General features: G+C 43.9%; 2 annotated features.

The window, feature by feature from the left end:
- Window positions 1680-2179: an enhancer, noted in NCBI's record as "H3K4me1 hESC enhancer chr2:85305409-85305908 (GRCh37/hg19 assembly coordinates)". NCBI's record gives its function as "activates a minimal SCP1, AML or CMV promoter by ChIP-STARR-seq in primed H9 embryonic stem cells {active_cell/tissue: H9 hESC(primed)}" and the evidence as "EXISTENCE:reporter gene assay evidence [ECO:0000049][PMID:30033119]".
- Window positions 2180-2681: an enhancer, noted in NCBI's record as "H3K4me1 hESC enhancer chr2:85304907-85305408 (GRCh37/hg19 assembly coordinates)". NCBI's record gives its function as "activates a minimal SCP1, AML or CMV promoter by ChIP-STARR-seq in primed H9 embryonic stem cells {active_cell/tissue: H9 hESC(primed)}" and the evidence as "EXISTENCE:reporter gene assay evidence [ECO:0000049][PMID:30033119]".

The raw sequence follows: 13117 nt of genomic DNA, 5'->3' as shown, positions 1-13117 counted from the left end.
GAGTGCAGTGGCGCAATCTCGGCTCACTGCAAGCTCCGCCTCCCGGGTTCATGCCATCCTCCTGCCTCAGCCTCCCCAGTAGCTGGGACTACAGGCGCCCGCCACCATGGCCGGCTAATTTGTTCTGTATTTTTAGTAGAGACGGGGTTTCACTATGTTAGCCAGGATGGTCGAGTGAGACCCCATTTCTAAAAAGAAAAAAAGTATTACTTCTGGGCACTGGCAGAAAAACATGGTCTGGTAATAAAATAAAGGCAAGAGTGTGACTCTACAACCTTTCATTAAGACTCAGGGCCGGGCGCGGTGGCTCACGCCTGTGATCCCAGCACTTTGGGAGGCCGAGGCGGTTGGATCACGAAGTTAGGAGATTGAGACCATCCTGGCTAACACGGTGAAACCCCGTCTGTACTGAAAATACAAAAAAATTAGCGGGGCGTGGTGGCGGGCGCCTGTAGTCCCAGCTACTCAGGAGGCTGAGGCAGGAGAATGCTGTGAACCCGGGAGGTGGAGCTTGCAGGGAGCAGAGATCGCGCCACTGCACTCCAGGCTGGGCGACACAGCAAGACTCCATCTCAAAAAGAAAACAACAACAACAAAAAACTCAGAAAGACCAAAGAATCAGAGTATTACTCAGTCACATATGGGGCTCTTTCAGGAGAATTAGGGTGTCCCTCCCTGATTCTTTCCAATAAAACAATAGGCCCTCCAGAAAGTTTAAGAGCATCGGCCCCCAGCAGTAGCCCAAGACTTTTGACAAATAGAGTGAACCCTGGTGAGATTCACAGAAAATGCACAAAGTTTTTGAGAAAATTATCTAAGCAGAAATACTGCCAGTTTGGGCTGAAAGGGACCAAGATGTACAAAATGAAAGAAGTCTATTGGACCTCCAACATTTTACTGGAAGGAAACAGGCTGAGAAAACCATTCAGGTGCAAAGGATTGTTACCTTTTATGATAAAGGAGGGATGGCTCAGAGGCCGAGCCAAGAGCCTAAAAGATGCAGCCAAAAGTCATGGAGAATTATTCCTAAGTCTTGAAACCTCATCAAGGAACTCCCAATATTTTAGTCAGCTGGATTTGAGAATTTTTGTGGACCAGTGGTTTTCTTACCTCTCATTTTCCCAATTTTTGAGCAGGAATCTCTACAGCTGTGATCCATGTCTGTCCCACCACTGCATGTCAGGTGGATTGGTGCAGGGCAGACATCTGGTCTCTTTGGTTTCATGAATCCACAGATGGAGAGGAAACACACTTGAAAGTTGGAGCTACACCCCAGGCGCTCCCATCACAGCTGGACCTGATTGAGATGATGATGCGGAACTGGACTTTCAGCTGATGCTGAAATGGAAGGAGAATTTAGGGCACCTTGGGAAGGAGTTAATGCGTTTTGTCTGTGAGGGAGTTCTGAATCTTTGGGGGCCAAAGAGTGGACTGTGGTAGGCAGCTTTTGAGAGGGCCCTCTATGTCCTCACCTCTGAGTGTTCATAAGTGTGATGTAATTCCCTCTCCTTGAGCTGCTGGACTTAATGAGCCTTCCTGAAACCAAGGGCACAGACTTGAGGCCCTCCAGACCTGGGTCCTGTGGTTCAATGCATGGCCCTGTAGCTGCAGGTTCCCGGAGAAGGGCGGATGGCAGAGCAGACTGTGACATCTCCAGGTGGCTCCTGAGCACCTGCTCTGCTCTCCTTCCCCTCCAGGCTCTCTGATTTTGGCTGCTTGGCTGCTCGCCATCTTCCAGGCTCTACGCTCATCCTGTGAGGGCATGAACTGATCTGTGCTTCGCCTGCAAGCTCTATTCTCTCCCCCAGACACCTCACACTCTGTGGGGACCCTGGAGAGAAAGGTAGCCTTGGGCTTCTTGGAAGTGCCAGGAAAGGAAAACAATCCAACAGTTTAGGGGCCCCACTTCTCATTGGAGCTGGAGACACTCATCCCCTAGGAAATGCTGGTCCTTAATCACTGCCCTCCTGAACAGACCTGCTGCTGCTATGCCCAGCATCTTTGCTCACCAGCCTCGTCCTAATATGAAGGCCGAAGGCACATTTGGGCTGTGCCAGGAGCCAGGGTGATTGACAGCTGGAGCTCCTAGTGGGGCTCATTAAGGGAAGCTGGGTGGGGCCTAGGGGAGCTCACTCTCCCCTGCCAGCCCCAGACCCAGGCGATGAGCTGGGAGGGGGCAGGAGAGGGGGTCAGATCAGCCAAGCTGGATGTCCTCTGCAGCCTGCCAGCTTGAGGCCCCAGCTGTGCCCACTGCCGAGGGCCAGGCTCTGCTCCTGAAGGCCCAACAGCCAGCCTGGAATATTCATAAGTGCCAAAGCCTCCCACCCCTGGGCCTCTGGGCTTCCTTAGACCCCCCCTGGAACATGCCCTTCATGGCTTTTCGTTCTAGAGACATCACAAGTTACTACGCACTACTCCCAATGCTGCCTCCTCCCTGTCCAAGTCCTCGCTTTCCATAATTTCCCAGTCTTGCAACACACACTGGGCCTGCCTGTCATTTTGATTTGCAAATTGAATCTCCCAAGAGCTAGTTATAATATGCAACATTATAAACCAGAAGTAAACTTCTCTATGTCTAACAAGGGCTACTGGAGAGACTTCTTTCTGTTTATACCCTTTTATCTTGTTTAAATATTTTTGTGTCTTTTTAGTTCCTTTCAAAATCAGGAAAAACAAGAGATATTTCCTTTTTAGAAGGAGAAAAAGCCCATTATTTCCCCTCCTGGTGGTAAAGAGCAAGGACCCTACAACCAGGCTGATTGTGTTTGAATCCCTATCCTGGGTGATCTTGGGCAAGTCACTTAACCTCTCTGTGCCTTAGCGTTCTCATGTGTAAAATGGAGTTAATAATTCCTTCCTGAGGGTTGTGAGGATTAAATGCATTAGTGTATATAAAACGCTTACTGATACATAGCAAATCTTTTTTTTTTTTTTTTTTGAGATGGAGTCTCGCTCTATTGCCCAGGCTGGAGTGCAGTGGCGCGATCTTGGCTCACTGCAACCTCCATCTCCTGGGTTCAAGCGATTCTCCTGCCTCAGCCTCCCAAGTAGCTGGGATTACAGGCGTGTGCCACCATGCCTGGCTAATTTTTGTATTTTTAGTAGAGACGGGGTTTCACCATGTTGGCCAGGCTGGTCTCCTGACCTCGTGATCTGCCCGTCTCGGCCTCCCAAAGTGCTGGGATTATAGGCATGAGCCATCGCACCCAGCCGATACACAGTAAATCTTAAATAAATATTTGTTAAATAAAATTTAAAACTCAGCTGCCTGAGAAAGGAGGCCAGTGAGTCGTAAGGTCCAGTGGCTCCCATCTCAGCCCCTGCCTCCATCTCTTCCTACGCATTTCCGACCACAGGGTCCAGATGTGAGAATTTGTGCTGGTTTCAGTTCCTACTCCAAGCTATTGGCCCAGGACACTGCCCAACTCCGAGGCTCCTGGGCAGGTCCTGTGCACTTTCAGCCACCTGTGTCCTCTGCCTGTAAGCTCCATCCTGAGGACAAGCAGAGCCTGTGGACAGGCCATGCACACCCCAGCTGCCCTCCCATCTGACTTCCCAGTGTACTGAATCCTTCCCTGGGCCACCTTAAGGCCCTAGGACCCTGACTGCAGCTTGCCTGGTCCTCCAACAGCACCACACAGGCCTGTAGCTCCACAAGCTGTGCTGACCTCTTGCCATGGGCCATGGTCTAGGACCAAGTCCCAGGCTTCCCTCTCTGGGTGCAAAGTCCTCTCCCTGCCGGTGAAGTCTGCGGTTCCCTCCCAAGGACCCAATCTCTGTCATCATCCTTTCTCAGCCCTGCCCTGCTTCTCTTGGGACAGAGACGAACTTGAAGATTCTTAAGGATTCAGTTGTCACTAGTGAAGAATCAGGCTGGGCTCAGGCTGCAAAGACTGCTTTCTGGTATGACCAGGGAGGGGGACTGCGGGCAGAGCCAGGGGCAGTGAAAGGGGATGTGTAATGGTAAGGGGTCTTCCTCATAGAAGAAGAGGCAGGGCTGGGGTCACATGAAGGCCAGAGTTTGGGAACAAGACAGCCAAGAGAGAGAAGACAGCTAGCTAGATAGAGTACTTCCTTGTGATGCTTTCTGTCTGAGCATCAGGGCTATTCTAGAGATGGTTTCCGAAAGGAGCATCTGTTCATCTGTTTAACTAGTGTCCTGGGGCAATGATCAACCTCTCTGACCTTTAGTCTCTTTATCTGTAGGATGGGATGATAATGCCTTCCTCAAAGACTTGTCAGGAAGATCCCATGAGATATTGTGGTGGTGACTGCAAAGCGTTTAGTACCTTGCCTGGCATGATAAATCTTAAACATGAATGCTGGGACTGGACCTGGTGACTTACGCCTGTAATCCCAGCATTTTGGGAGGCCAGGTGGGAGAATTGCTTGAGACCAGGAGTTTGAGACCAGCCTGGGCAGCATAGTGAGACCCTGTCTGTAATAAACAAACAAGTAAATTTAAAAAATGCTGAAAAGCCTTCTTGACTGTTATTAACAAGGTCTGTCTTGGGAGGTGGGTCCTAGAATAAGAGCCTGACTATGGGTGAGGGGTCGCAGGCCAGATCATAAAATGACAGGAGGCGTGAGGTGAGCCTGGCAATGATGGCAGCTATATTCTCCCGACATTAATTCCCCAAGAAGTTATCTACTCCCAAATTCTATTTTCTGTCTTTTTTTTTTTTTTTTTTAATCACAACTTAAAGAAACCCTAAGCCTGAAATGGGACCAGAGATAACAGGTTCCACAAGCCTGGTTCGTACCTGGCGCTCATAACAGTGCTGTGGCGGGCTGTTCTGTCTGTGTGGAATGGCCCTGTCTCCCTCCCCAGGAAGGACCAGGGCATAGCTTGGGGTACCACTAAAAAGCAAATTCATAAAGACGGAAAGTATAATACAAGTTACCAGGGGCTGAGGGGAGGGGATAACAGGGAGTTATTTTTTAATGGGTACAGAGTTTCTGTTTGCGATGATGAAAAAGTTCTGGAAATGGATAGTGATGGTTGGATAACATTGTAATACCATTAAACTGTACACTTAAAAATGGTTAAAATGGTCAGGCACAGTGGCTCACGCATGTAATCCCAGCACTTTGGGGGGCCAAGGCGGGTGGATCACAGGAGGTCGGGAGTTCGAGACCAGCCTGACCAACACAGTGAAACCCCATCTCTACTAAATACAAAACATTAGCCGGGTGTGGTGGTGCACCCCTATAATCCCCACTACTTGGGAGGCTGAGATAGGAGAATAGCTTGAACTCGGGAGGCGGAGGTTGCAGTGAGCTGAGATTGTGCCACTGCACTCCAGCCTGGGCAACAACAGTGAAACTCCATCTCAAAAAATAAAAATAAATAAATAAATGGTTAAAATGGTCAATGTTATGTTATGTATAGAAACATATGTGTATGCATATACACATTTTTCTCAAGTGCATATAGATCATTCTCCAGGATAGACCTCTGCTAGGCCACAAAAGAAGTCTTAATAAATTTTAAAAGATTGAATTATCATACAATATATCTTTTCTGAATACAATGGAATAAAAATAAGAATGAATCACAGAAAGAAAACTGAAAAAGTCACGAATATGTGGAAATTAAACTTACTCTTAACCAATGGTTGTTTAAGAAGAAATCACTTGGGAGTTGCTCTGAACCTGTTCTGGTTCGGGGGGTGCCCAGAAAAAAAAAAGAAGAAATCACAAAGGAAATTTAAAAATACTTAGAGATGAATGAAAAATATAAAAACAGGCTGGATGTAGTGGCTCACACCTGTAGTCCCAGCACTTTGGGAGGCCGAGGTGGTGGATTGCTTGAGCTCAGGAGTGCAAGACCAGCCTGAGCAATATAGTGAAACCCATCTCTACCAAAAATACAAAAAATTAGCCGGGCGTGGTGGCACATGCCTGTAGACCCAGCTACTGAGGAGGCTGAGGTAGGAGGACTGCTTGAGCCTGGGAGGGGGAGTTTGTAGTGAGTCAAGATCTTGTCACTACACTCCAGCCTGGGTAACAGAATAAGATCCTGACTCCAAAAACAAACAAACAACAACAAAATATATATATATATATAAACAATACATCAAAACTTATGAAATGCAGTGTTTTGAGGGAAATTTATAATAGTTAATGACCTCATTAAAAAAGAAGAAAGATCTCAAATTAATAACCTAGCCCAACTTTTCAAGAAACTTAGAAAAAGAAGAGCAAACTAAACCCAATGCTAGCATAAGAAATTAATAATAAAAAAATGGAGATAAATGAAATCGAGAATGGAAAAACAATAGAGAGAACCACTAAAACCAAGATTGGTTCTTTAAAAGATCAACAAAACTGGCAAACCTTTAGCTACACCAACAAAGAAAAAAGATAGAGGATGCAAATAACTAAAATCAGGAACAAAAGTGTGGGTATTACTACTGACTTTACAAAACTAAAAAGGATCATAAGAAAATACTATGAATAATTGTACACTAATAAGTTAAATAACCTTGGTAAAATGGGCAAATTCTTTGAAAAACACAAACTACCACACTTACTCAGAAGACATAAAACATCTGAACAGACCTATAACAATTAAAGGGATTGAATTAATAATCAAAAACTTCCAAACAAAGAAAAGTCCAGGGCCAGATAGCTTCACTGGTGAATTCTACAAATACAGAGAAACTAATGCCAGTACCTCTCAAACTCTTCCAAAATTTAGAAGAGGGAACACTTTTTAATTCATCTTATGAGGTCAGTGTTATCCTGATACCAAAGCAAGTCAAGGACACCACAAGAAAAGAACACTATAGAGGGTGGCCCTTATGAACATAGGTGCAGAAATCCTCAACAAAATACTAGCAAACTGAATCCAAGAGCATATTAAAACACCATGGCCAAGTCAGATTTATCCCAGGAATGAAAGGGTGGTTCAACATAAAAAAAAAATCAATCAGTGTAATATACCACATTAATAGAGCAAAAGAAGAAAATCATGAGATCATGATCAAAAAAACATTTCACAAAATCCAAGCACCTTTCATGGTAAGAACACTCAGAAAACTAGGGATAGAAGGGAATTTCTCAATCTAATAAACGGCATTTCTGAGAAACCCACAGCTAACATCATAGTCAATGGTGAACGACTGAAAGCTTTCCTCTAAGATCAAGAACAAGACATGATGTCCATTTTCACCACGACTATTCAACATTGTACTAGAAGTTCTAGCCAGGCAATTGGGCAAGAAAAGGTAATGAAAACCACCCAAATTGAAAAAGGAAGAAGTAAAACTATCTGTATTTGCAGATGACATGATCCTATATTTGGAAAATCCCAAGTAAGTCACAAAACTACTATTGCTAATAAACAATTTTAGCAACTTGTGGGTGCAAAATCAACACATGAAAATGAGTTGTGTTTCTATATGCTATTATGGATAATTCAATTTACAGTAGCTTCTAAAAGAATAAAATATCTAGGAATAAATTTAACCAAGGAAGTGAAAGACTTGTATATTGCAAACCATAAAACATTGCTGAAAGACCTTAAGGAAGACCTAAATAAGTGGAAAGACATCCCATGTGCATAAATTGGAAGACTTACCCTTAAGATGGTAGTACTACCCAAAGCTATCTAGAGATTCACTGCAATCTCTATTAAAATTCTGCCTATTTTTTTTTGAAGAAATGGGAAAGCCAGTTCTCAAATTCATATGATATTTTTAGAAACATTGAGTAGCCAGAACAATACTGAAAATGAAGAACAAAGTTGGAGGACTCATATTTTCTGATTTAAACACTAACTATAGAGCTACAGTAATCGTTCGGGCACGGTGGCTCATGCCTGTAATCCCAGCACTTTGAGAGGCCGAGGCATGGGCATCATGAGGTCAGGAGTTCAAGACCAGCCTGGCCAACATGGTGAAACCCTGTCTCTACTAAAAATATAAAAATTAGCCGGGCTTGGTGGCGCACACCTGTAATCCCAGCTACTCAGGAGGCTGAGGCAGGAGAATCGCTTGAAGCCGGGAGGCAGAGGTTACAGTGAGCCGAGATCATGCCACTGCACTCCAGCCTGGGCGACAGAGCAAGACTCTGTCTCAAAAAAAAAAAAAAAAAAAAAAAAAAAAAAAAAAAAGCTACAGTAATTGAAACAGTATAGTACTGCCACTGGGATAAACATGTAGAAAAATGGAATAAAATTGAGAGTCCAGGAATAAACCCATTCACTTAGGGTCAATTGATTTTTAACATATGTAACAAGACCATTCAACTGAGGAAAGACTGTCTCCTTAACAAATGTTGCTCAACAAATCCACATACAAAAGAATGAGTTTTTTCATTCTTATCTCATACAATATACAAAAATTAACTCAAATACTTGAGGGGATAGATACCCCATTTTCCATGATGTGATTATTATGCATTGCATGCCTGTATCAAAACATCTCATGTACCCCATAAATATGTATACCTACTATTGTACCCACACAAATTAAAAAATTTAAAAATTGGGCTGGGTGCGGTGGCTCATGCCTGTAATCCCAGCACTTTGGGAGGCCGAGGCGGGCAGATTGCTTGAACTCCCAAGATCAGCCTGGGCAACATGGCGAAACCCCATCTCCACAAAAAATACAAAAATTAGCCAGGCATGGTGGCACAAGCCTGTGGTCCCAGCTACTCGGGAGGCTGAGGTTGGAGGATTGCTTGAACCCAGGAGGCAGAGGTTTCAGTGAGCCAAGATTGTGCCACTGCACTTCAGCCTGGGAGCCAGAGAGAGACAAAAAAAAATAAAAAAAATATTTTTACAAATTTAAAAATTAACTCAAAGTGGATCAACAACCTGGCTAGAAGGGATAACACTATAAAACTCTTAGAAGTAAACATATGGGAAGTCTCATGACCTTGGATTTGCCAGTGGATTTTCAAATGTGACAACAAAAGCATGAGCAACAAAAGAAAAAATAGATAAATTGAACTATGAAAACTGTAAGTTTCTGTGTATCAAAAGACATTATGAGGAAAGTAAAAAGACAACTTGCAGAATGGTAGAAGATGTTTGCAAATCATAAAGAACTCTTAGAACTCAAAAGCGAAAAGACAAACAACCCAATTCAAAAATGAGCAAAAGGACTTGGATAGGCATTTCTCCAAAGAAGTGATACAAATGACCAATAAGCACATGGAAAGATGTTCAACATCATTAGTCATTAGGAAAACGCAAACCAAAAACCACAGTGAGATACCACTGCATATTTACTAGTACGAGAATAATTTTTAAACACCAGAAAATAGCAAGTGTTGATGAGAAAGTTTTTCTGATTTAAAAACCTAAATTGGAATCCCTGCATATTGCTGGGATTAATGTAAAATGGTGCAGCCACTGTGGAAAGCAGTTTGGCAGATCCTCAAAAAGTTAAACATAGAATGATCATTTGACCCAGCCATTCCGTTCCTGGGCATTTACCTGAAAGAACTGAAAAAAAGTAGTCAAACTAATATTTGTATGCATGTGTTCATAGCAGTGTTATTCACAACAGCCTAAAGGTAAAAACCACCCAAATGTCCCTCAGTGGATGAATGGAGAAACAAATCGAGGGACACACATGCACTGGGATATTCAGCAGGAAAAAGGAATGAAGTACTGATACATGGTACACATGGATGAACCTTGAGAACATGCTAAGTAAAAGAACAGAGGGTCACATATTGTATGATTCCATTTATATGCAATGTACAGAATAGGTAAATCTATAGAAACAAACCAGATTGGTGGTTGTCAGGGGTTGTGGGGAAGAGAGAATGGAGAGTAATCACTGAGTGGGTTTTCTGGAGTGATGAAAATGTTTTAGAAATAGAAGTGGTGGTTGCTCAACATTGTAAATGCACTAAATGCCACTGAATTGTCCACTTTAAAATGGTTAACTTGGCCGGGCACAGTGGCTCGTGGCTCATGCCTGTAATCCCAGCACTTTGAGAGGCCGAGGTGGGTGGATCACCTGAGGCCAGAAGTTCAAGACCAGCCTGGTCAACATGGTGAAACTCAGTCTCTACTAAAAATACAAAAAATTAGCCAGGCGTAGTGGTGCATGCCTGTAGTCCCAGCTACTTGGGAGGCTGAGGCAGGAGAATTGCTTGAACCTGGGAGGCAGAGGTTGCAGTGATCCAAGATCACGCCACTGTACTCCAGCCTGGACAACAGGAGTGAAACTCTGCCTCAAAAAAAATAAATAAATAAAAAATAAAATGGTTACCTTTATATTATGTGAATTTAAACTCAATAAAAATGTAATTGTGTAGTTCTTGGATGATGTAATAGAATTTGGTGGTAAAATAAACTTGATTATAGATGTAAATGTATAAAATAAAATTATAAAACTTTTAGAAGAAAACAGGAAAAAAACATCATGACCTGGTGTTAGGCAAATAATTCTTAGACATGACACCAAAAGCATGATCCATAAAAGAAAAATTGAGTTTCATTAAAATTAAAAACTTCTCTGTGAAAGATGCCATTAAGAAAATGAAAAGCACTGGGCGTGGTGGCTCATGCCTGTAATCTCAGCACTTTGGGAGGCTGAGGCGGGCGGATCACTTGAGGTCAGGAGTTCGAGACCAGCCTGGCCAACACAGTGAAACCTTGTCTCTTCTAAAAATACAAAAATTAGCTGGATGTGGTGGCACATACATGTAGTCCCAGCTACTTGGGAAGTTGAGGCATGAGAATCCCTTGAACCCAGGAGGCAGAGGCTGCAGTGAGCTGAGATTCCACCACTGCACTCCAGCCTGGGCAACAGAGTGAGACCCAGTTTAAAAAAAAAAAAAAAGAGAGACTGGGAGCGGTGGCTCACGCCTGTAATCCCAGCACTTTGGGAGGCCGAGGCGGGCGGATCACGAGGTCAGGAGATTGAGACCATCCTGGCTAACACGGTGAAAACCCCTTCTTTAGTAAAAATACAAAAAATTAGCTGGGCGTGGTGGCACGCGCCTGTAGTCCCAACTACTCGGGAGGCTGAGGCAGAATTGCTTAAACCCGGGAGGCAGAGGTTGCAGTGAGTTGAGATCTTGCCACTGCACACCAGCCTGGGCAACAGAGAGAGACTCCATCTAAAAAAAAAAAAAGAAAAAGAAAAAAAGAAAGAAAGAAAGAAAATGAAAAGCTAAGCCACAGACTGGGAAAAATTATTTGCACAGTATATATGTGATAAGGACTTGTATCCAGAATATATAAAGAATTCAACCCTGACTGGTCACAGTGGCTCATACCTGTAATCCCAGTACTTCAGGAGTCTGAGGCAGGAGGATCACTTGAGTCCAGGAGTTTGAGACCAGCCTGGGCAACATAGTGAGACCTTGTTCATACAAAAAATGAACAAAATTAGGCCAGGCGCAGTGGCTCATGCCTGTAATCCCAGCACTTTGGGAGGCCAAGGCAGGTGGATAATTTGAGGCATCAAAGTTTTTAGCTGACTTGCTATGCTTCACGGCAGCAATACCAAATGATCCCCCGCAATGCTGTGAGCCCTAGGATTTATTTTCCTTTTTATGGTAGGAGGCCTAACCGGCACTGTACTAGCCAACTCATCATTAGACATTGTGTTATATGACAGATACTATGTTGTAGCCCACTTCCACTACGTCTTATTAATAGGAGCCATATTCACTATTATAGGGGGCTTTAGGAGTTCAAGACCAGCCTGGCAAACATGATGTAACCCTGTCTCTACTAAAAATACACAAAAAATTAGCCAGGCGTGGTGGTGCGCGCCTGTAGTCCCAGCTATTCAGGAGGCTGAGGTATGAGAATCGCTTGAACCTGGGAGAAGGAGGTTGCAGTGAGCTGAGATCGCCCCACTGCACTCCAGCCTGGGCGACAGAGCGAGACAGTGGTGTGTGCCTATAGTCCCATCTACTTGGGAGGCTGAGGTGGAAGGATATCTCCAGGCTGGGATGTCAAGGCTGCAGTGAGCTGAGTTCGTGCCACTGCACTCCAGTCTGGGCAACAGAGCGAGACCTTGTCTCAAGGGAAATAAAAAAAGAAATCAATTCAGTAACAAGGTAAACTGCCAACCCAATTAAAATATGTACAAAATAGACATTTCACCAAAGAGGATATACAAATAACTATAAGCACATGAAAGATGCTCAATATAGTCAATTTGGAAAAGCAAATTTAATCCACATTGAGAACCACTACACACCCATTCAAACTGCTATAATGAAAAGAACTGTTGAGATTAGGCCAACTACCAAGAATCTCTATTTCATATACATTTGGGAACTGAGGAAATGCCCACTGCTCAATGGACATATTCTGAGCTGGAGTTTAGCCAGAACTCCATTTATACCTAGTCGCTATATGCTCTTATTCCGTTTTTTTGTTTTTTGTTTTTTGTTTTTAGAGACAGCTTCTTGCTCTGTGGCCCAGGCTGGGCTGGAGTACCCTGACATGATCATAGGTCACTGCAGCCTTGAACTCCTGGGTTTAAGTGGTCCTCCCGCCTCGCCTCCTGAGTAGCTGGAACTGCGGGCGTGCACCACCACACCTGGCTAATTTTAAAATTTTTTGTAGAGATAGGTTCTTCCTATACTGCCCGGGCTGGTCTCCAACTCCTGGCCTCAAGTGATCCTCCCCTCTTAATCTCTCAAAGTGCTGAGATTATAGGTATGCGCCACTGTGCCCAGCCTGTATGTGCCTAATTCTAACAGGGGCCATGATTACACTTGGGATCTAAGGTTATTCATATCTACTATAAGTCTGTGTCTAATTGTCCTCAAGATGTTTAGTATTTTTTTTCCCCAGTGCTCAATTACCCAAGTAAATAGTCTTAGGTCCCTTTGAGGGAAGGCCTGAAGGAGTCATTACATGTTCAATTGCCACGTGTCGCAGGATTCTTCCTGCTGGAGTTGCAGGCGCTGCTTCAATCAGTGGGTTCTGGGTTCAAAAACTGACCCAGTGTAGAAACTGGGCAAAGGAGAGCGACTTTTTATTGGAGCAACTATCCTCAGCTTCATCATCACCCATCCTTGATTTCTTTTGATGGTTCAATTTGAATAGCACTCTGTTGGCTAATGCAAGTATTTCGCCGTTTGTTTATACCAAGTTCTATTAACCATCTCCAGAAGTGTCTTCTGA

The sequence above is a fragment of the Homo sapiens genome, chromosome 2, assembly GCF_000001405.40.
Source record: "Homo sapiens chromosome 2, GRCh38.p14 Primary Assembly".
NCBI lineage: Eukaryota > Metazoa > Chordata > Mammalia > Primates > Hominidae > Homo > Homo sapiens.
This window is presented reverse-complemented; position numbering and strand designations above follow the sequence as displayed.